This window comes from Homo sapiens, chromosome 11 (assembly GCF_000001405.40).
Source record: "Homo sapiens chromosome 11, GRCh38.p14 Primary Assembly".
Classification (NCBI taxonomy): Eukaryota; Metazoa; Chordata; class Mammalia; order Primates; family Hominidae; genus Homo; species Homo sapiens.
In genome coordinates, this window is record NC_000011.10 from 31,856,666 (window position 1) to 31,881,290 (window position 24,625).

The window sequence follows — 24,625 nt, forward strand, 5'->3', positions numbered from 1 at the left end:
TAGTCTTGTGAAATATTGTAATACTGTCTCTTTTTTTTTTATAGATTTGAAACTCCCCAAGATCACTAGGGGAAGGGGTATTTAAACTCAGATTTGTCTTGCAAACCACATGTTTCTAATCACTCAACTTTTCTGTTTTTCTATTTTGCTTCCTTACACAAGAGTCTATTAGAGGCGTGCTCTCTCTCTCTCTCTGTAGAAGTGTTATTGTGTGATTAATAAAAGACAGAGATTTTGGTTTATCTTCACCAGTGGAAGGCTTTGATACATTACTCAATGTTCTCTGTGGTATCCTATATTGGATAACAGTCTCAAGCTCAAAATTAAAGATTTCTTTAGATCAAATTTGATTGCAATCAACAAAAATTTACCTAATTAAAACTTTGGAGAGATTTCTCAGGTTCTTCACCATGGGAAAAGGGCTTTGAAAGCCTAAAGAATGAAAATAAGGCATTTCCCATCATGAATAATGATGTGAAATTGTCTTAGAAAGGATTTTTTTTGTTGTTATTGCAAAGGATAGACACCTACTAAGTCAGCGAAACAAAGAGAGGGAATGCATAAAGAAGCACAGTTGTCTAACTGAACCCAGAATAATGCAATGGGGTCTCAGGAGAAAAGGTATCCACTACAGACCCAGCTCCTAGAACAATGCCTAATTTAAAGTCAGGGTTCAATAAATACTTGTTGAATGGAAGAATGAATGATTTCTAAATTTCTAGGAAATAGAATCCACTTTGCTCAGCTTGGGTCAAGTGTTCATAACCCAGTTCAATCAGTTTTGGCCAGAGGCAGAATTATATAGGGCCCTGGTGGGAGGAGAGGGTGTGTTTCTCAGAGAAGGAAGGAACACTGTGACTGAGAAGACACCTCAAAAGGTGACAAAGAAGCAATACCTACCTTGCCTCAATGGAGGGCTGAGTCCCCTTTCGAGTGTAACAACATGGCCCTGTTAGGGAAAGTGTCGTAAAATTGGGACAAGGTAGAGGTAGTTGAACAGAAAAGTCATCTTGATCATATTTTGCCTTTATACTTTTGAATATTGGAACAAATGAAATATTCTGAAAAGATGAAGAGAACACTTCTTTGTTTATGGAACTAACCAACTCTGTTGAAAGTGTCATGGATGTGTGTGTGTTTGTTTTGCCCAGTAGGGACAATGTTGTTAAGGGATGCCATGGTGTGAATACCTGTGTCCCCCCCAAATTCATATGCTGAAATCTTGCTCCCTCAAGGTGACAGTATTTGGGAGGTGATTAGGTCATGACAGTAGGGCCCCGTGAATGGGATTATTGCCCTTATAAAAGAGAAGCCCCAGAGAGCTGCCATGCCTCTTCTACCATGTGAGGACAGAACAAGAAGTTGCCATCTATCTGAAAACAGGCCTTCACCAGATACCGAATCTACTGGTGCCTTGATCTTGGACTTCCCAACCTTCAGAACTGTGAGAAATAAATTTCTGTTTTTCAGAAGCCACCCAGTTTCCGGTACTATTTTTTTTTAATAGCACCCTGAATGGACTTATATATGGTGCTACTGTACAAGGCAAAGATTAAAGTCAGGGTCTATGTTTGGGGCAGAAACACCTAATTGACAGTTTGCAGGCTTTGATTAGCTCTAGAGAAACCACCCGAATCTGAGCTTGGTCAGGGAGAAGCCATGCTTCTAAGGACAAACAGGACCTCTCTCAGTTTGGTCATTGCCTACTTTCTTGGCTCCTCTGTCTTTGTTTATCTCCCCCGACTCCATCCTCAGCACATTCACAAATGCTTCAGCCATACTAAATGTCTCATCTTTCCCCAAACCTCTCTATTCTTCCAGGCATCCATGTCTTAACTCAAGCTTTTCTCTCTGCCTGGATTTTCTTATCCTTTGGGTGAACAACTACTTACCTTTCAAGGTTTCACATTTAGTCACCCATGAAATCTCCTCTGACCTTCTCTCTACATCCACAAACTCCCCCTTTTATACTCTTCGTTACTATAGAGGATAGGAAGACAAAACCATATTCTGAGAAATTCTTGCAGTAAGCTGATGTGACCAAGGTTTGAGGAAATGGCTTTGTTTACCTGACACGTGGAGGTAGAAGTGAGAAACAAAGATGGAGGCCACATACAGGGAGGCTGTCCTGGCAAGCATGATGGTAGAGGCATTTGATTCTTCTGAAACCAGGTGGCAGCTTTGCCAGTGTTCAGTCTCTGGTATTATAGCCTCTAGCAACAGAGAGTGTAGAAATAGGGATACTGCTAGGATAGTCCCGAGGTGTTGATGACAAGGCTTTTTGTTTTTTTCTGGATGTGTAACATCCAAGCCTGACTCTCTTGGAAATTCTGCAAGCTGTAGTAAATTAGTAAATTCCTTTGTACTTACACTACAGAGGATTCTGTAGTCTTCAACTAAAAACTCTTATTGACACTGCACCCCAGTTCAGGTTTTATATATTTATATATACATATATATATATTTATATATACATATATATATATATATATATATATATATATATATATATATATATATTTTTTTTTTTTTTTTTTTTTAAGATTGAGTCTCACTCTATCACCCAAGCTGGAGTGAAGTGGTATGATCTTGGCTCACTGCAACCTCTGCCTCCCGGGTTCAAATGATTCTCCTGCCTTAGCCACCTGAGTAGCTGGGATTACAGGTGCCTGCCACCACGCTCAGCTAATTTTTGTATGTTTAGTAGAGAGAGGGTTTCACCATGTTGGCCAGGCTGATCTCGAACTCCTGACCTCAGATGATCCACCTGCCTCGGCCTCCCAAAGTGCTGGGATTACAGGCGTGAGCCACTACATCTAGGTTCTAGATCTGAATAAGTGCTGTGTTTCAAATATCTTGGATTTGGTAAGTGCTGAATAATGGATGCATGAATGAGTGGGTAGATGTGTCTCAAAGGGCAATCTCTAATTCTCTAGGTTCCAAGATAGAAATGGGAAAACTCTTGGTGACAGTAACATGAATTGAGTTTGAAGAGCCAGGGGCTGAGTGTGAAGAGCACAGGGCAACTAGAAGGAAGTTGAGGAAAAGTAGCCTTCACTCCTGCCAAACAGAGCACAGGGGCAGCTTTCATTATAATGTAAGGTCATGCTGTGTCTACATATACCATGTTGATTCACTATCTCCAGCAGAAAAATGCCTGGTTAATTTCAATGAAAACAGGTAAACTTGATGCTTGGTGTTGTGCTGACTAAACACGCAGTGAACTGACAGAATCATATTGAATGACTGGCTTGGTGGCACATCAATATACAGTCCCAGAGACCCAGCCAAGTAGAAGGGTGAGAATTGGAGATGAGATTGGGTCTGAGGAGTGCACCGCAGGGCTAGGGATGCTGAGCAAGGCTTGAGGTGATGGGAGGAAATAAAAGGAAATGTGGCTTTCCTATTGTGTTTTCTCTTTTCATTTTCTATGGCAAGGAGATTGATAGTCAATATGATTGTATGTTGTAGCTAATATATGCATAGATGTAGCTATATGGATGTAATCACCATATTCTATGACAGTAGTTATCTAATTCTCTGTCCCACCTAGCCTCAATTTTCAGAGGGGCTCAGGACAGGCAGGACAAATGGAGGATAGTAAGGAGTCCCTGAGCCCTAATGGTCAGTAGGACGGCTCAGATCACTTGCAGTCACTGCCAACAATTCTATCTATAGTCCTTAACTTGGGACTTTAATTCATTAGGTATATTTTTGAGAATAAATTACTCTCACCATGGGAAGTTTTTATCTGGTCTTAACAAAGAGCTAACTTACACCTAACATGCTGGACAAGTGTAAATTTAATTTAAATTTGCACACCTCCCTTCCCCCACTTACTATCCCCAGGGAGCTGTGTGTCATAACTCAGGGGCAAGGCATGTTTGCATTCTGGCATCACAGTGGCAGAGGGGAAGGAGAGAGGGCTGGTTGGGAGTTAGCCTGCTGTAGCCTGCTGTAGCCTGCTACAGAAGCTTCCCTAGTTCTAGGCAGTGTCTTGAGCAGGGATTCTTCACTGAGGGAGCACATCAGAATCATCTATAGAACTTTCAAAAACTACACATACTCATGGACCTTTCCCCAATCCAGTAGGTTTAGGGTGTGGCCTAGTCATTTGGATTTTGAAAAAGCCCCATGAGCAGTTCTGATGTGCCCCTGTTGACGGAGAACCACTGATAGGCGCAGCAATCTCAGGCCTAGTTCTGATGACTATCCCTGTGGATAGGGACAGCATCATAGAGCAAGATGTGAAGAGGAGTCCAGTTCAGAGGGAGCAGGTGTACTATGAGCTCAGTCTGCAGGTGGCAGGACCCCAGAAGCAGGTAGGGGATCTTAGAGAACAGAGCCTAGCCTTACAGGAGGGAACTGAGCCCTAGTCCCTGCTGGTATTCAGGTTGAGGCTCTCGGTTTCCAGCAGAAATCTAAACTATTGGTAGGAACCCTGGGACTCAAGTCCCCTGGCGTGTTCCTCAAACACAGGATCTGCTCAATTGCACAGGAGACTAACCATGATGGCCACTGTAGCTGGGACCCTGCAGCAAGATCTGGGGCGTGGTCAAGAGTTTCAGAGTGAGGCCTAGGGAGAAGGCCATCCATATCCACTCCAACCTTGTCAGAAATGGGGCTGGTGAACTCAGGAGGGCTTGTTGTCAGTCCCACCTGGGGAAGATGAAGGTGGAGGAAATAAGGCAAGGGTTGGCAGTGGTTGTAAACAGCTGGCCCAGGATGGCTTGGTTACTGTCCCAGCCAGCAAGTGCCTCCACAGTGGTGCCCTACAGACACACTCTACAACTTGGGGGTTTGATCTAGATGGTTCGTTTAAGCTCAGTGTGTTTTTTGGGGTTTGTAAACTACTTAAATTGTGACAAAATTTTGTTCACCAGGGGTTCTTCCCTAGAAAGCTGCAGTCTGGTTATTCTGTTTTGAGGTCTCTGTTGCCTCTGCTGCAAAATCTTATGGCTTGCTCTGTCTTTTGCCTGTGCTCATGCATTTCCGGAATCGGTCTGTTTTCCCTGGAAATTATGCCTGCTCTACAAAATGTGCTGATTTCTCTGATTTGGGTCATCTTCTCTAGGTCACAGGTGCTCTCATTGTCTACTACTGCTGATTTGCCCTGTGCCCATCCTGGCTCTCATTGACAGCTTCCACCTGTTTGCACACTGTCTACACTTCCGCTGCCTCATGGTTCATTCCCAACTCTTGACTCTGTTCTCCATGGGAGGGACTATTTCACTGCAGAAACCCAATTATTTAGGAGGGAATGAACAGGCTTCTTGGCATAGAACTGCTAAAAAGACCCACTTCCCGCTCTTTGAGATGAAAAACACATGTTTATTTCCTGGTATCTCAATTTCTGGTCCCTGATTACATAAAGTTGTCAGATTTAGCTAATAAAAATACAGAATAATCAGTTAAATCTGAACATTCGAGACACTGTTACATTAAAAGTTATTTGTGGTTTACCTAAAATTAAAATGTAACCGTGTGTCTTCTATTTTATCTGGCAACCCTATGACTGAAAGAAAGTAGCTGAATTTGAAAGTAGTCAGAAGGGTACTGGAATACTGAGTTACAGACACACACACAAACATCCCTGATGAGTCAGATTACTTTATGGAAGGTACTTGGGCAAATGACTGCTAGTTGTTATCCAACATGTATTTTCTTCTTTTAGTAGAACTTCCAAACTTATTCTGAGCACAGGAAAAGAGAAGGGTGTATATTGCTCAATATCTCTTGCAGCTAGAAGTTGCCAGAAGAGTATGAGAAGAAGTGATGTGTACAACTTCAGGATTATGCCCTTAGAGGGAAGGGCCATACTCTCCACTCCCCTTTCTCACTGATTGGAATATAGACAGGGTGGTTGGATCTGGGACAGGTATCTTAGGATAAGAGACAGAGGTTGTGTGTTGAGTATAGGAGCTCAACAAGATAGAAGAGTCTTCAACATCACATCAGCCCTGCCTGCTTGCACTGATGGTTTGGCTTGGTGTCCCCACCCAAATCTCATCTCAAATTGTAATCCCCATACGTACAGGGAGGAAATTGGTGGGAGGTGATAGGGTCATGAACAACATCGGTTCCCCCATGCTGTTCTCATGCTAGTGAGAGAGTTCTCATGAGATCTGATTGTTTATAAGCAGCAGTTTCTGCTGTGTGCTCTTTATCTCCTGCCGCCATGTAGAACATGCCTTGCTTCCCCTTCTCCTTCCACTATGATTGTAAGTTTCCTGAGGCCTCCCCAGCCATGCAGAACTGTGAGTCAATTAAACCTCTTTCCTTCATAAATTACCCAGTCACAAGTAGTTCTTTATAGCAGTGTGAAAATGGACTAATACATGCACATAAACTGTTACTGGAGAGAGAAATAATCTGTCTTTTTAAGCCATTGTTACTTTATTGTTGTTGGTGATTTTTTTTTGTTTTTTGAGACAGGGTCTTCTTTCATCCAGGCTGGAGTGCAGTGGTGCAATCATGGCTCACTACAGCCTCAATCTCCCAGGATCAAGCAATCCTACCACCTCAGCCTCATGAGTAGCTGGACTACAGGTGTGCACCACCAAGCCCGGCTAATTTTTGTATTTTTTTGTAGAGATGAAGTTTCGGCATGTTTCCCAGGCTGGTCTCAAACTCCTGGACTCAAGCGATCCACCCGCCTCAGCCTCCCAAAGTGCTGGGATTAATGGTGTGAGTCACTGAGCCCAGCCTGCCACTGTTACTTTGGCTTTTGTAGGAGCCAACTAACTGGTATTCTAACTAGCACAGGTATCATTGTTGATTCTCTGGCAGACATATTTCAGAATTCCAAGAGACCAGATTTGTAGTGTTCTACAGGAAGCTGTGCTTTTGTTTGCATTGACATTCCTTTTGCTTATTCCACAGCAGACATGGAAGCAAGACACAGGTCCAGGATAGGGCGGGAAAGTGGCTTTCTCAGTGACATTTCAGTGTGAATGAGACTGACCCAGGGAGTTTGTTAAAATGCAGATTACTTAGCTCTCTCCTTTGGGATGTGAATTTGACAATTCTGGCCTGACCCAGAGAATCAGCATTTGAAAAGTATTCCACGTCATTCTGATGGCAGCCCTTGGGCCACACTGAAAAAAAAACTCTGGTCTATAAGTGGAGCCCTTCAATATGCGGGACTCCTGGGAAATACTTCAGTGAATTAACTCAGGAAGATTCTTAACTGCTACAGAGATGCTGTTGATGGTGGTGTTTAGCAGTCTAGGAACAGCGCCTTGGAAATGAATACTTGGAAATATTTGATGGGACACTCAGTGAAATGCAGACATTTGGAAAGTTACAAAGCTTTACTCTGGATGGCCTGTAAATACCACACACATGCACTAATTAGATAACCAGACATAATTAAACTATTTGGAGACATGATTGAAAAGTAAATATTTTAAGGGACAAGAGGGCAAATTTTAAACACTCCATTCTTCACGCTCATTTCTTTAGTTCACAATGTTGACTGAGAAGTCGGGGTAATTACAAGTGGTAATAATGCTTGATAATTACATATTTGCCTCTGTTTACATTGGACATGAAATTAGGAAACTCACTTCCTAAGTGAACCCTTGTGAGCATCCTTTCACAGAGAGTGAAGTTCATATCACAATCAAAGCAATAAGAGGGAGTAATTGTGACACTAACCACAGGAGGAAAACAATCAGGGATAAACTTTCAGCCCAAAGGAGTGAGATGGGGACTGAAGAGAGGATAAAAGTGCCAACCAGCCAACCAGATAAATAATAACATTTTTTTTGAGTATCTACATTGTGCAAGGGCCCTGTGCTAGGAACTATGTGGGGGTGGGGCAGGGTCAGAGAGACACTGAAGATGGAGAAACTTAAAATGTACCTGGGAGCCAGGACGCATCTGAACGCAAAGTTCCACTGTAAGCGATGTGGGAGTAGTGCCAAATCAGCACTTCAGGGACTCCAAAGATGGAGACGCTGGAGAGGGTGCAGACAGTCAGGAGGAGCTTCTTCAAGTAGGAAGTCAATCAACACTTATGAGCCGTTGTTGGTGTTGGGGATGCAAAGATGGCCAGGAAGGAGTCCCTCTCCTCAAGGGGCTTCCATTCTGGTGGAGGGAGACCGATCTCAGAATACTATTACTGGATAGAAATATTGAATTTGTTAATCAATAATAGTAATAATTGATTGCTGTTATTGTATATTGTTGGCCAGTTGGGGTGGCTCACATCTGTAATCCCAGCACTTTTGGGAGGTGGGAGGATTGCTTGAGGCCAAGAGTTGGAGACCAGCCTGGGCACCATAGCAAGACCCTGTCCCTACAAAAAATTTAAAAATTAGCTGGGCATGGTGGTGTGTGTCTGTAGTCCTACTACTTGGGAAGCTGAAGAGGGAGGATCACTTGAGCTCAGGATAGGAGTTCCAGGCTGCAGTGAGCTGTGATGGTGCCACTAAACTCTAGCCTGGGCAACAGAGGGAGACCCTGTCTCATGCATATGTGTGCGTGTGTGTATAGTTAATCACAGATAATCAATCCATATATCAGATATTTTCTGATATGGATAAGAGCTACAAAAAAGCTTTGATAAGATAAAATGGTGGAAGTGAGTGGAGCTGAGTGGGGTCAGATGGTGGTCCCAAAAGGCCTCTCTGAAGAGATGAGGGAGTCTGAGGCTTGACCCTAACCAGGAGAAAATGGCAGGTGTTGGGTAGCTAGGGAAAGCATTTGCAGGCTCAGTGTGCCCTCTAGATAGTGAGGAGGCCAGCATGGCTGCAGAGTGGTGAGGGAGGGGACAGTGGTGGAGAAGGGACTGGAGAATAGCTAGGGCCTGGAGGCTGGGGAAGGAATTTCAGGGTTTATTCTAAGGATGCAGGCTATTGTGGAGGGTCTTGGGGCAGGAGTGACATGATATAATTTGTGTGTTTAAAAAGAAACCATTCTGGCAGCTGTGAGGCAGTAAGCCCTGGGGCTCAGGCATGGAGCTGGAAGATCAGCAAGGGGCTGTTTTGGTGGCTCAGGGTGGGCCTGGAAGGATGTAACTAGGTGGATGTAACTAGGTGAGGCTAAGGGGAGCACGCCACAGGGTGGGGACCCAGAGCATGAGCATTGAGGACAGGAGCCAGCAGGGTGTGTGGGGAAACTGAGGCCACCAGTCAGATAGGGGTGGCAGGGGGCGAGAAGAGAAGGCAACAGGCGAAGATGGGCAGTGCCCTCTTGTTGTTTGGGGAAGGAGCTCACGTGGGAATTTAACGTGAGTGGCTGATGCCCAGAGATCTCCATAGGAAAGTGGTCAGGCCTTCACAGAGGGTCTTTCTTGCTGAGAAAAAAAGTCCAGCTGGCCTGTAGAATGAGGGAGGTGTGCACAGGAAGCAGGCGCTGACATGCCATCAGCCCCTCTGCGTGACAGGTGCTGGAATTCAGAGCACACTAATGTGGTCACAGCCCTCCCGGGTCTGGCTCATCAGCCTCTTCCTTTCACAGAGGAGCACACCCAAGTCCGGGGAGGTTTTCAAAAGCAGCCCAGCCAGGAAGAAGCCATGCCAGGGTGAAACCGAGGTCTTTCTGACTCCAGGTCGGTCGGGCTTCCTAACCAGGGCACCACAGTCTCCATGCTGACCAGACTGTTTTCCTGCCTGCTGCTATTTTCCTGACACTTTCTTCCCTTTCCAACACTCTCTTCTCTTTCCTCTTCACCGTGTTCCTACCTAGCCAATGACTACTACTATATATATATACTATATATATAGTTTAAAGTGTATATATATATACACTATATATATACAGTTTAAAGTGACTGGGATCTTCAATCTTAAATCCAACCACAAAAACAAAAAAGGAGGTGTTTGTCCTTGGAGTACATCTCTCCCCCTGGCAGGGGAGAGGCCTTGTGCACACATCCACTGGACTTCACACACGTGAGCTGAGCTCATGAACGTTCCCTAGACTGTCAGGGCTCTCTATTTTGGAAGGAGGTTGAGGAATTTGCCCAAAGTCACCCAGCTGATGGGTGGAAATTATTCTCAGTCTCGACAACTCTTGTGCTTTTTGGATTTTCCCAGCAGCCCATGCTGCTCTGAGCCATTTCTCAAGATGTCTCCTTTTCCCTCGTGTTGCCTGTAACACTGGTGACATAAACCTCACCCTTCTTGCCTTACTCCCATCTGAGTAGTGTCTCAGTGATGTGTGCCTCTATCCTTCCTGTCCCTCCAGCCTGAGTGTGGAAAATTTTTGTGACTCCCAATGCCTTTCTACCCCCTGCATCTTCTTGCCCTCAGCTTCTCTGACATGTTCAAGAACAAACCTTTGGCCTCCATACCTGTGCCTTGGAGAACAGATCTATAGCATTAAAAATAAACACGTGGACAAACAAACTGTTCCATTGTATGCTGCTGTGTTACAAATGGCCCCTGAGTTGTGTGAAATAATAGCCATGTTTTTAGGCTCATAGTTTCTCTGGGGCAAGAGTCTGGACAGAGTACAGTGAGGAGGACTCACCTCTGCTTCATGATTATCTGGGGCCTCAGCAGGGAAGACTTGAATGGCTGCAGGTAACTCAAGTGGTTGGGGACTAAAATCATTCTTCATTCACATGTCTGGCACCTGACTGGGCCTAGCTGGGACTGTTGACCAGAGTGGCTTACGTGTGGCCACTCCACGTGGCTTGGGCTTCCTCACAACATGGTCGCAGCTAGTCAGACTTCTTACTGCAGACTTGAGGTTTCAAAAGTCCATGTTCAGCCAGGCGCAGTGACTCACACCTGTAATCCCAGTACTTTGGGAGGCCGAAGTGGGCAGATCACCTTAGGTCAGGAGTTAGAGACCGCCTGGCCAACATGGTGAAACCCCATCTCTACTAAAAATACAAAAATTAGCCAGGTATGGGGGTGCGTGCCTGTAGTCCCAGCTACTCAGGAGGCTGGGGCAGGAGAATCACTTGAACCACGTAGGCGGAGGCTGCAGTAAGCCAAGATCACACCACTGCAGTTCAGCCCCGGGTGGCAGAGCAAGATTCCGACTAAAAAAAAAGTCCATGTGTCCATGTTCCAGAGAGCAAGATGGGAACTGCATGATCTTTTGTGACTTAGACACACTGTCATTTCTGACATACTCTATTGTTCAAGACAGTCATTCAGGTTTAGGTAGAAGTGACATAGACTCCACATTTCAATAGAAGGAATGTCAAAGAATTTGTGGCTGTTTTGAAACTGGCATGCAAATAAATAAACATTTTGTAAGGCAAAACCGAACAAGCCCCCTGTTATAATTTTTAACTCATCAGAAAAGTCTCCAAAGTCTAAAACAGCAGTTCCTAACCTTTTCCACACAAAGTTCTTTCCAATTTAAAACACAACAAAAATCTCCCAAAGAAATAGTTATTGTTTTTTTTTAGAAAAACACACACTCATGACAAATAATTCAATACAGCTAAACACAAAGAATTAAGCCTAGTCCAAATAATGTAAAATATTCCTAAAACCTCATAGTCTAGAGATAACTGATTGTTAATTTTTGAAGAATATCCTTTAAGATATTTCTGTATGCATTTACACACATAAATGTATGAATCGTTTTACATAAATAGGATCATCATATTGAGTTTTTCTGAAATACGTTCTCCTTTTTACACTCAATAACACGCTACAGCCATTTTTCCATTTCTTTTTTTTCTTTTCTTTTTCTTTCTCTTTTTTTTTTTTTTTTTTTTTGAGACGGAGTCTCACCCTGTCACCCAGGCTAGAGTGTAGTGGCGCAATTTCGGCTCACTGCGAACTCTGCCTCCTCAAGTGATTCACCTGCCTCAGCCTCCCGAGCAGCTGGGATTTACATGCACCCGCCACTGCGCCCAGCTAATTTTTGTATTTTTAGTAGAGATGGGGTTTCACGATGTTGTCCAGGCTGGTCTCAAATTCCTGACCTCATGATTCACCGGCCTCAGCCTCCCAAAGTGCTGAGATTACAGGCATGATCCACCACACCTAGCCCATTTTTTCATTTCAATAGTCACAGCAGAAGACTATTGGTTTCTCACACAGCAGATATTGTCCCTTCTTTTTCTTTTTCTTTCTTTCTTTCTTTCTTTTTTTTTGAGGCAGGGTCTTGTTCTATTGCCCAGGCCAAATATCCTCCCACTTCAGCCTCCCAAATATCTGGGACCACAAGCCTGTTCCACCATGCCCAGCTAATTTTTACTTTTTTTTTTTTTTTGTAGAGACGGGGTTTGATTGTGCTGCCCAGGCTGGTCTCAAATTCCTTGGCTCAAGCGATCCTTCTGTCTTGGCCTCCGTACATGCTGGGATTACAGGAGTGAGCCACTGCACCAGCCTGTCCCTTTCTACCTTCCTAACAAAAACCCTGTTTTAATTCAGGCATCCATTCTCCTTTGAGAGGCAACATGTTTCCAGGAAAGCAGACACTATTTCTAATTTCTAGTGTAAAAGACAATTGGGCTTAGCTAAAATAGCAGTCCGTTCCCCTGGCCAGTGACTGAGGTAATGACAGAATGTGACATAATTCTGGCTAAAGCGATGGCAAGACTGATGGCAGGTTTGGGAAAATGGGATCCTTGGTGATACAAAGGAATAATTAGGAACAGCCTCACTTCTATTCGGTTGGTGCAGAAGTAATTGCAGTTTTGCCATTAAAAACCACAATTACTTTTGCACCTATCAAATACCACATATTGTCATTCCTGCACATAATGGTTGGAACTACAGCAGTTTCAGATATTGTTGTTTTTTTTTTAAAGATAAGAAATGACTTATTGTTTAATTTGAATTGATTGAGCTGCATTTTTCTGTTGCTTATAGCCCAAAGTATTCTAACTGATGAATGTCACACATAAAATTATACAAAATTACTTTGAACAGTTCCCTATTTTATTGTATGGATATGCCATCACTAACTCTGTAAAATTCCCAGTTGCTTGACATTTAGGCTATTTCTTTCTTTTTATTTTTTGCTATAATAAACAACAGTGATGTACTTTGACTAATTCAATTTTCAGGCAGTACTTGGTGTGTCTATATAACCTCCACCCTCTGACAATAATTAGTTTCTAAGCCATAAGATTGGTCCCACTGAGGCACAGCTTCTTAAATCTGACTGTTGGGTCTGAGATGAAAGCTTGCAGCCTCCAATTATCTCCATTTTTCCCCCTTCCTCCAGTATAAAGAGCATGGGCTTTAGAAGCAGACAGAAATGGTTAGAAATCCTCTGTCACTTCCTAGCTGCACAGTGTCATCAGTTTCCATTTCCCTGCTCTATAAAATGAGAACAGAAATACCTACCTTTGTTGTCAGGACTAAATGAGATGATGTATAATAAGCATCCAGTCTGATGCCTGATACACAGTAAGTGCTGAAATGGTCATTATTTTATATTTTATTATTTATCATTTGGAAGAATATGTGTGTGGAATAACACGAATAGGAGCTATTACCCTTAAGAAGTGTCTGTGGAATGCTGTTTGCTTTCTTTCCAGAGTGGCAAGACTTCTTGCTATTTTTTTAACTTTTTATTTTGAAATTACTTTAGATTTATAGAAGAGATGTAAAGATAGCACAGAGAGGCTGGGCGAGGTGACTCACACTTGTAATCCCAGCACTTTGGGAGGCCAAGGCAGGCGGATCACTTGAGGTCAGGAGTTAGAGACCAGCATGACCAACATGGTGAGACCCCTGTCTCTACTAAAACACAAAATCAGCTGGATGTGGTGGCGCGTGCCTGTAGTCCCAGCTACTGGGGAGGCTGAGGTGGGAGGATCACATGAACCCAGGAGGTAGAGGTTGCAGTGAGCCAAGATTTCACCACTGCACTCTAGCCTGGGTGACAGAGTGAGATCCTGTTTCAAAAAAAAAAAAAAAAAAAAAAGTTCCTATATAACTTTTACTCAGCTTTCCCTAATGTTGACATCATCTTTGGTACATTTATCAAAACTAACACGTTAACATTGGTAATATTATTAACTAAACTACAAACTTTATTTGCATTTAACCAGCTTTTACACTAATGTCCCTTTTCTATCCTAGGACACAATCCAGGATACCATGTCGCCTTCGGGCCAGCTGGTTTTTAACGGACTTACAGCCCTTTCCTTGGAGGGCTGAGTTGCACACTTCTGCTGGAAAATTAGCCAGAGCTAACATTGATTGGGTGCTTAATGATTAGCCCTTCTCATAACCCTATGTATTCCATTCCTGCCCTCATTTTACAGATGGGGAAACAGAGACTCAGAGAAGTAGGAGGCTTGATCAAGGTCACTCAGAGGCAGAGCAGACACCGATGAGGCAGCCTGGTTCCTGCTTAGTTGCCTTTCCCAGAGGAGGATCCCCCCTGGCCCTCTCCCCAGAGCCTGTCCTCCCTGTGTGGCCAGGAGGAGAGAGGAGGTCCTGCAGCAGGGACAGCCTTGCCTGTGGGCAGAGCTAACTCTGGCTAAAACTGAGCACTTTCTGCCCACCGGGCCGGGCTCTGAATTACCTCCTCGCTGCCTGGGCAAGGGCCCGCCACGCCCCTTTCTCCCACTCCCTTCCCTGTCAACTCTCGGTCTCAAGGAAGCTGCTGCTGTCAATCCTATCCCTGTGCGTTTGGCCACAATGCAAAGGCGCCTCCTGGTGTTTGCATTTGAATAGAGACCCAAGCCCGAAGTCAAACAATGAGGCTCGTGGTGGGAGTGGGAGAGATTTGGGGTAGAGCGCATTCTTGCAGCCCCTTCTGCGCCTCCGTGAAGGCAGTTCTCTTCTCCACTTTCTCAGAAGTCTTATTTCTCCACTTGCTGGGGCTACCCCTGCTCCTGGGGACAGGAAGGGGATTGCGTTTCAGCCAGGGCCCCATCTGCACAGCCTGGGGTCTTCTGGCTTCTTCATCCAGGAGCGCTGTCCACTGCCAAGTGGGAAGAAGGCAGCCAGAACTAAAGCTTGCTCCCTGTGATCCCTGTGCCATCACCACCGCTATCTCCTAGGTGGCTTCTAATGACAGCTTTCACATAGGAACACCTTCTGTGTGCCTGGCAGCTATAGGTACATGGATCACTTTATGTGATAAGGAAATGGGGGCTCTGAGCTACTTAGCTGGTAAACGGCAGAGCATGGCCTCAAACTTTGGCCTGGCAGGCTCCAAAGTCCCCAGTCCTTCCAGTATACCAAATACCGTCATGATTGTTTTGGAAACAGGGCCCTTGCCAAAACCAGCCTCAAGTTCCTGGTGCCAGGAGGGCCCCACACCTTTCTGGGCTAGGCAGTGTGTGGGTCCCGCCTCCGGAAGACCAGGCTGGTGATAAAGCCCCTTTCTAAGGCACCCAAAGGGGGCTTTTTGCTGAGCAGGCAGGTGTGCCATGGTAAGGGCCCACATCCTGTCAGGGATGGGGTATTTCCTGATTCAGGTGACACAGCTTAAAGAAGGCTGATAATGAACTGCATCTCTATTTATCCAGGCAAACTTGGCCTAGCTGAGGTGTTAACTGGGCCATGGAACAGCTTTAATCCTTTTGTTTACATTGAGATGGTTCAGTGAAACTAGTACTGTCTTAAGCTACAACTGCATTTCATCTTCAGGTCTGCTCTCAGGACTGACACAGAGACCAGCTTTGGGTGGAAATAATCATAACATTCAGAGCTGCAACCTGGGGTGATTCATCTCAGAGTCACCAACAAGATCGCATGCTTTTTGGTTATCATGAGTGGCTTCAGGGCGCTGGCTGGGCACTGGCAGTTTCCACTAACGAGGACAAATAAGAACAGTAAACAGGTGTTGAGTTATTACTATCCACCAAACACTTAATGTGTATGAACTTAATTGATCCTTTTAACAACAGCAAAGTAGGTGTCATTATTATCTCTATTTTTTAGGTGAAGAAACTGAGGTACAGAGAGCTTAAGAACCTTGTGATGGGCTTCAGGACATTGCTGCCCCCAAATATGGCACCTTGATATATTGAATGTTTCAAGCTGAAGGAACTTGAGAAAATGGCAGATGCAGTTAAGTTCACACAACCCTTAAGTTGCAGAAGAGGGAGTTGAACCCAGGCAGTGTGGTTCCAGAGTCCGGGCATATAATCATTACTCTGTGTGCAGATAAATAGCATAGGCAGAGGTCTGGAGGGACATAGACCAAAGGCTGCATGCTGGCTGTCTACAGGTGATTTCTTTTCTTTTCTATTTATTTGTCTTCCCTTATTTTTGACAAGTTTTGAGGGGAGCAAAACGTTAAGATTTACACTAGACAAAAGGACAGGTCGTTAGTGGGTGTGAGTTGCATGGGACAATGTACTGGGCTCCCTCCTGGGGGTGTCCACAGAAAGCCAGTTTGGAAAGACACTATGACACAGGTGGACAGAAGGCAGACAAAATCACTGATACAAAATGAAGGGTTTGCTTATTAACTCATTCACGTATTGATTCAATTATTCACTCATTGCTTCAAAAAAGCATGGAGAGCCTACTCTGTTTAAGCATTGTAGTGGGTGCTGGGGATAATTATGTGTAAGACAAGATCCCTACCTTCTAGGGGTTCATAGTCTGGAGGCGGAGGTGAGGGGAAGCTACTTTCAACTAAGCACCTAGTAACTTGTTAAGACATAAAGTAATTTGCAAGTCTGATTCTTCCACAAGGTTTTGAATCCTTGAGGGCAGGGACTGGTACAATACTGGTATAGCCACATATTTCAACCATTGATGCATTCCATGCATGTATTCATGCACTTTTACATTACCACTTGGTGATTGAACATACATAGGGTGTACAGTGAAGGAACAGCCCACGTGATTGTTTCTCCAGGTTGAAGGAGGGAGAGAAGAGGGTGGTTGGAAAAATCTCCATAGAGATTTGAGCAGAGGCTTAAGAACTGAGAAAGTTTGCCAGGTGCAGTGGCTCATGCCTGTAATCCCAGCACTTTGGGAGGCTGAGGCAGGCAGATCACCTGAGGTCAGGAGGTCGAGACCAACCTGGCCAACATGGTGAAACCCTATCTCTACTAAAAATACAAAAATTAGCCAGACATGATGGTGGGAGCCTGTAATCCCAGGTACTCGGGAGGCTGAGGCAGGAGAATCGCTTGAACCTGGGAGGTGGAGTTTGCAGTAAGCCGAGATCATGCCACTGCACTCCAGCCAACAGAGTGAGACTCTCTCTAAAAAAAAAAAAAAAAAAGAACAGAGAAAGTTTTCACCCAGTGGGGAAGGTACTTCCAGGGAAAGGGAATAGCATAGGAAAAATCACAGTGGTATAAGGCTGACTGGTGCATTTGAAGAACTGTCAATAATTAAGTCCCAGGAGCTAGGACTTAAATGTAGGTAAGTTATAAGGACAGAGAACCAAAGCAGAGAGTAAGGGGTATATGTGCAGATGGAGCCTAGGGGATAAGGAAGCCTCCTCCTTTTCCTCCTTCTCTTCTGTTTAATAAGCCCTCCCCCTACTCTTTTGGAAAGGAGTGAAAGGGTAGGAAACTACATCTTTAAGCATCTATACATGCCAAGCCCTGTAGCATGTATAGGAAACTACATCTTTAAGCACCTATACATACCAAGCCCTTTAATCCTTACTTTGGCACAATTCACCAGCCCCATTTTCCAGGTGAGGAAACTGAAGCTCAGAATGGTGAAGTGACTTACTCACACAGTCAGTAAGTGGCAGAAAAAAGGTTTGGATTGAAGTGCATCCGATTCCAAAAGCGGCACTCTTTGTACTGGGCCAGACAGAACAACTGAAAGTGGAATCACGCTTTTATCTCTGCAAAATGCTTTCATGTACCTAGGCTCATTTGATTCTTACCATGATATTGAGTAGCAATTGGTCAAGTATCATAATTTCCATTTTTTTCAGTAGGAAAACTGAGTCACACAGAGGTTCATTTTGAGTGATTTGAGAATTTCAGAATTAAATACATCCAAAGTACCAACAAGAGGACCCAGCTGAAAAACTATACATGAAATGAAGATCAGCCCTGAGATGGTTTCTCAGTGCAAAGGGGCAGCTGAGGACATGACACATGTGCACATGAGAACCTTGTGTGCATGTGGAGGTTTGCAGCTGGAACAGCCGGAGGGGCCAATCCAAGTGGCTGAGCTAATCCTTTCCTCTGCCTTCTGCCTGCTTCCCCTGTCACCTTAGGGGCCCCTCCTGAGGGGACATCTGTGAATTCTCCATGGAATCCCTCATTTAGCTCCCAAGACCCAGCGCAAGCCTGGGTGCAGAATGTTGGTGCAATTTTGACAAGATGCTCACAGAGGTTCAGTGACTAGTTTTAATTAGGCCATCTTTGTTTACGTTTGATGTTTATCAGCTAATTGGCATGGCAAGGTGTGAGTCACACAGCTTTCCCCTGGCATGGAATCAGTTGTCAGAGAAAAAGCCAGGAGAACAAATGATCCCAATTATGAGAGAACCCACCGGGCTAATTATCGTCCCACTAAGGACGGAACCTTCCCCCTCCTGCTGCTCCTGCTACTGCTGTAGCTGCACCAAGTGCCCTGGGATCTCTACACCCCTTCCTCCAGCCCCAGAAACCCAGAAACCAGGATCTGGGCCCCCAGCTGGCTGCCTGGAGATTTATTCTCTCAAATTCAAAACTTGCATGTTCCTCTAGCTCAGACACACCAGGGCAACATTCTTCCTTTAGTTCAAGATCATTTTCCTCTTTAGCCCCTTCCATAAATGATTGCTCATGTATGTTGGACTTTTCCTGTGTGCAAGGCACTGTTGGAAATACCTGATAATTATTTTCCCCAATAACGTACAGTCAGGTCGCATTATTATCTCCATTTTACAAATGAGGAAACTGAGTTGTGCAGATCTTAAATAACTTGTTTGAGGGCAAGCAATAGGGCTGGGATTTGAGTGACATGATCTATCACCATGGCACCTGCTCTTGACCATCAAATGACTCTTGGATGCTCAGAAAGCCCTAAAAATCAACCAATTAGGATTCTTCAGGTGGATTTCTGGGTCCACTCTCCCTCTAATTATGTAGGTACAATCGCCTTCTAGAACAGTGCTGTCCAGAACTTTCTGCAATGATAGAAATGTTACACTGTCCTGCCCAATGCAGTAGGCAGCCACTAACCACATGTGAAATGTGGCAAGTGGGATGGAGGGACTAAATTTTTCATTTCATTTTATTTTAATTTATCTTAATTTTAATTGAAAGAGTCGCATATGGCTAGCGGTTACCTTGCCGGAAAGTGCAGTTCTAGCTGGTCAGCCCTTAGTCCTCAAATGCTGCAATTTCCTAATCAGTCCTTTATGTGTGTCTTTTCCTCCCCCTCCTCCTTCTGCAGCTTCCTGGCTTTCTTGGTGCAGGGCAGGTCTCTTCATTTTCTGCATTCTCTCCTGCCCATTCTCTAAGCCCCCTCCAGGCTGAGGGGCTTGTGCAGAGGAATGCAGTTTGGCTGCCCTTGAGTTGAATGATGATCGTGGACCTTTGGAATGTCCACAAAGCCTCGCACTCTCGGCCTCCCCTGTCTCTCTCCTTCGCCGGGGTAACAGATGGCCCTGGCTTTCACCAGCCGGGCCTGAGCACATTGTCACTCCCAGCTGAAAGTGAAATATTCAGTGGCATTTAAATTAAATAGACTCTAATGCTTCAGTAATATTAATTACGTTTTCATTCATCCCTGGCCTAATAAATCAATGCGTAAAGAGAGGATGCTCGGGAGGCTGGCAGCCTAGTGGGGCCACTGGTCCTTTGTGTGAGCCCGCACACAATGCCCCCATTCTTACGGGGCTGCGCTTGCCCCTGCAAACATCTGTGCTCAGCCCCTCTTGAGGAGGAGCCAAAGAGGTAACATTTACACTCTGCTCCTCCAATTTGTCCCTGCACCAGGGCCTGAGTCAACGGGAAATGTGAAGGCCACACTGAAAACCACATTCAGAGCTGCTGCTGCTGCTGCTGCTACTACTGTGTGTGTGTGTGTATGTGTGTGTGTATTTGTGCACACATGCGTGCACATGGAGCTGGGGGGTTTGCAAAATTCTGAGGCAGAGATTCAGTGAATGGAGACAGGAGTCTATTGGTGCTGGGACCTCACTTCTAGCTGCAAGATTGTGTTAGTTCAGCCTTAACCTATGAGAAGAAGGAGAAAAGGAAGAAAGAAAGGAAAGAAAGAAGAAAGGACAGGAGGAAGGAAGGAATAGGAAGGGGAATAATAACAGCTACCATTGAATGAGTGCTTACTATGTGCCAGGAACTGTGCTAAACACTTTTATGAAAATTCTCTTATTTATTCCTTACAACAATTTATAACATAACATAGCAACTATTATTGGCCCATTTTACAGATGAGGAATTTATCTATAGTTCAGAGAAGTTTGGGAACTTGCCTATGGTTCCAGGCCATGTCTGTTTGATTCCAAAGACAATGTTCTTTACCTCTAAGTTCTACATCCATCAGAAGAAAATACAGAAGAACAGAAGAGATCTCTAAGGCTATGGTTTGTGTAGGGGGCAAGGGGCCAATGTTTGAGAAATTTCCAACATTCCCCTTGGTTTCTGAGGTTTTTTGCCTGTGGGGAGGTCCATCCCCAACGAGCAATGTCTCCACCCCCGCTCCAGGGCTATACATATGTAAAAGAAGCCAATAAAACAATCCAAGAGAGCCTGCTCTCCTAAATCTTCAGGGGACAAAACCTCCTACTTGTGATGCTTCAAAGCTGTCCAGAGCTACCAGTTTACCCCCAGAAGTCCCGACTCAATGCCTCTGATTGGAAAATAAATAGCTTTGCACATAAAAACCACAGGCCAATTGTTAGCCTAGGAATGGGAAAATGCTGTGTGCATCACTGCGTATCAGCCCTGGAGCCTCACTCCTCCAGGGAGGCAGCCTCTCCTCTAGGAGATGGCCCAGGAGCTGGGGGTGAAGGCACTTGTAAACATGGGAGTTTCAAAAATGATTCCTTAGGAAGATTTTTAAAATAGTCAATGTTAAAATCTACAAGAAATCGTGTTTCTTATAGAAAAACTAGAAAATACAAATAAGAAGGAAGGGCAAACATCAGCTGAATTCTTCCACCCAGAGTTAACACTTGGTGTTTTTTTCCTCTAGAAAACTCACTCTATCACTACTTGGCAAACATTGGGCCATAAGATTCAAACTGTTTTGCAACCTGCTTTCCCCCACCATTTACTGTGATCCAAAAGTCTTCCCATGGCATTAAATATGTCTCTCCAACACAGTCTTCTTAATGACAAGTTTTGCAACTTATAGGTAAAACATGGTTTGGTTATTTAATCAGTCTTCAATTATTGGACATTTGGACAATCAAACCAGAAAGAAAATAGAAACCGGGGTTGTTTCTATTTTTTTTCCTCCCACAAAGTTTACTATAATGATTTTCCTTGTGGCTAAATGGTAGAGCACGCACATTCCCACTTACTCTCTTAGAATAAACAACTGAAAGAGAAATTGCTAAGTCGAAGTGAATATGCATGCATATTTTGAGGGCAGAGACACTGTCTACTATAATTTGTAAAAAATGACTTGGAAAGCTAAATCTCAGCTTCAGACCCAATTCCTACCCAATGTAAATATTCCTACTCTCTGATGCTTGAGGCTGGTTTGATTGTACAAAACCAAGTTTGGAACTTTCTGGTCATCTTGTTGGTAGGTTAGGACTCAGCACTTGCAGCTTCATTGTGAGGGTTCTTGAACCTCAAGGTAGAACTGACATCATTAATGTCCCACAGGAAGCAACTGAGTAGAGTGACCAGCCTGTGATCTCTGGAGTCAGCCTAGATTTAACACCAGCTCTGCTTCTGACTGGCTGTGTGCCCTAAGGGAAATTACCCAGTCTCTCTGGGTCTCAGTTTCTTCATCTGCAACCTAGTGTGTGATACTTGTATCCATCTTATTTCAGTGAAGATTAAATATATGTAAAACACTTAGCACAGTGACACGTGGTAAATGTTCAGTAAACATTTGCTACTACGCTGTTATTATGTTGACCCACTAATGAGCTATTCAACCAACCTCTTAGTTATTCAAGTCTTGGTTTTTTCTTGGAGCCATCAGGAGAGACCATGAATTGCACCCTATTTAAATTGGCCTATATCACACAGAAGGTGATTTAATTCAATCTAATACTGATTGAGGTCCTGGCACGAGTACGGCCCTGTGGTAGCAAGATGAATGTGTCCCCAGGAGCTCATTGGCTAGTGGGAAAGCCAGAAACATGCATCGGTAACTCAGATCCAAGGCAGCCTGTTGCCAGCGGTGTAATGAGAGGTGCAAATAATGCATGTGGATGGGGCCTCTCCAGTGGCATCAATGGGAGGAGGATTTGAAGTGATGCTCAGGGAGGTCCAATCACTTGTCCAAAGTCACACAGTTACTAAGATGTGGAGCTAGGATTAGACTGTAGGTCTGTCTGGTTTAAAAAAAAATCATGCTTGTTTCCTCCATATTAATAAGCAATTCAAGGTCAAAGTCACTCTAGAGCAGACTAGGGCTGTCCAGTAGAACTTGCTTCCATGCATATGCTCTATATCTGTGCTGTTCAATATGGTGACCACTAGCTACACTTGGCTACTGGGCACTTGAAACATGGCTAGTGTGAGTGAGACACTGGATTATTTTAAATTTTATTTAAACATGGCTAGTGGCTACTATGTTGGACAGCAAAGGTTTAGATGGAGGAACTAATTTAAGAGAAGGGCTAATGTTAAAGATCAAACTATTTTTTTTTTCTTGTTATGAGACAGAGTCTCACTCTGTTATCCAGGCTGGAGTGCATTGGTGCCATGTCGGCTCACTGCAACCTCCACTTCCCCTGTTCAAGCAATTCTCCTGCCTCAGCCTCCTGAGTAGCTGGGACTACAGGTGTGCGCCACCACACCTGGCTAATTTTTGTATTTTTTAGTAGAGACGGGGTTTCACCATATTCGCCAGGCTGATTTTGAACTCCTGAACTCGTGATCCTCCCGCCTCAGCTTCCTAAAGTGCTGGGATTACAGGCATTAGCCACTGTGCCCAGCCCAAACTTTTTAATGACAGGAAAGTGAGAGATTTTAAAAAATAAAAAGTAAAAATAAAGGCAGACTCTAATTTGAAAGGAACTGTTAATAAATAAATAAATAAATAATAATAATAATAATAATAATAATAATAATGTTTTCATGGAGGCCAAATATTTTTCCACCCTTGGAGGAACACATGCATTTGGTTGACGTGCTCTGACCATGCCATGTTTGTGGCTCTTTGTCAAACAGTTTGGGGCCAAGCCAAAGCCCATGGGGAGGGCTCCCTTTGGCAAATGCATTCCCTCTTCTTCTCTGTTTTGTATTTGGCATTAAACTGAGTAACTGTCTCATGCTGAAACCACCACACGTATCTAATTCCCATTTTGTTCTCTGTCAGATTCAGGCAGAGAGCTGATAGAATAGCTGACACTTTCAAGTCAGAGAAAACTTCCTATCTGTACTTCTCAATGGTTGGAGCTGTGCAAAGACACACTAGGCAGCCTTTGTGGGGGGAGGGTGAGTCTCCCATCAGGAGAAGTGTTCAAGCATGCGTTGAACAATCATGGGTATGTTGTGTCAAGGTTGCAAACGTCAAAAGAGAGAGGAGAGGTAGTTGGAATAAATGACCCTTTATGTTATTTCTAGCCTCTAAAGTCAGAGCCTTTACAAAGACTTTTGTACAAATGATTTTGCTCTGTAAAAACCCTTATCTATCTATACCCCATAGCCAAGGTTAGACTGGTAATTCTCTGAGGTCAAGGCTGTATCATAGTCACTACCGTGTTGTTGAACTAGCCATGGTACTTGGAACATGAGAAGTGTTCAGTAAATACTGGTTGTTGTGGTTGAGAGAACACTGGAATCTTAATGTCTTAACCTAAATATTAAATGGTAGTCTTCATTTGTTTTGATGAGAGAGTGGATGCGAAGTAAATTCAATGCAAATTTGGGTCTGATCTCCAAAAGGACCAAACAATCATTCCCCCTTGTGTGCTCAGTCCTGTGAGATTAAAAAGGTAGGGCGAGAACTCACAATTACACAGTGTCTACCAGGTGCTGAGTACTGTGGTAGGTGCATTTGCATATATATTATAGTATAATTCCCAAGACAACCTTGGAAGAGGAATTACTGTCCCATTTTATAGATAAGGAAGCTGAGGCTTGACAAGGAATTATTACAAAATCCCATTGATAGTAAGTGGCTGAGGTAACAAACAGTCAACAGCCTTTAGTTCTACCCTAAACTAATTTATGTAGCAGATGTTACATAGGAGGGATCACTGAAGGTAAGGACATGAGACTGAAGAGACATCTTGGGCAAGGTTATGGACATCTTCAACATTGGAGAGGTGAGGAGATGCCTTCTGCCTCTTTGCCAGAGAGACCACCATGTCTTAGTGAATCAGAATGATTTAGGACCATAGTAGATAACATCACCTCCTCATCTCACCCCCTTGCCCAAATCCTTACAAGTTCTTATTTGCCAATGGGAACCCCTCAGATTGGCTTCTCTTTCTCTCTCTCTCTCTCTCTTTTTTTTTTTTTTTTTTTGAGACAGAATCTCACTCTGTCACCCAGGATTGAGTGCAGTGGCGCGATTTTGGCTCACTGCAACCTCCGCCTCCTGGGTTCACGCCATTCTCCTGCCTCAGCCTCCTGAGTAGCTGGGACTACAGGTGCCCGCCACCACACCTG

At 44.1% G+C, this 24,625-nt stretch overlaps 1 long non-coding RNA gene across 1 annotated transcript in view, besides 3 other annotated features; it reads left to right on the forward strand.

Annotated features, from left to right (window-relative positions):
• The window catches only part of PAX6-AS1 (PAX6 antisense RNA 1), a 70,476-nt gene that overhangs the window by 40,100 nt on the left and 5,751 nt on the right, over positions 1–24,625 (forward strand). The window lies entirely within an intron of this gene.
• Positions 14,318–14,447: a silencer, noted in NCBI's record as "silent region_3219". NCBI's record gives its function as "represses an Ori minimal core promoter by ATAC-STARR-seq in GM12878 lymphoblastoid cells {active_cell/tissue: GM12878}" and the evidence as "EXISTENCE:reporter gene assay evidence [ECO:0000049][PMID:35858748]".
• Positions 17,383–20,851: an enhancer, noted in NCBI's record as "VISTA enhancer hs1531". NCBI's record gives its function as "enhancer in: neural tube[8/8] | midbrain (mesencephalon)[3/8] | forebrain[4/8]" and the evidence as "EXISTENCE:transgenic organism evidence [ECO:0001131][PMID:17130149]".
• Positions 19,634–20,134: an enhancer, noted in NCBI's record as "H3K4me1 hESC enhancer chr11:31897845-31898345 (GRCh37/hg19 assembly coordinates)". NCBI's record gives its function as "activates a minimal SCP1, AML or CMV promoter by ChIP-STARR-seq in naive H9 embryonic stem cells {active_cell/tissue: H9 hESC(naive)}" and the evidence as "EXISTENCE:reporter gene assay evidence [ECO:0000049][PMID:30033119]".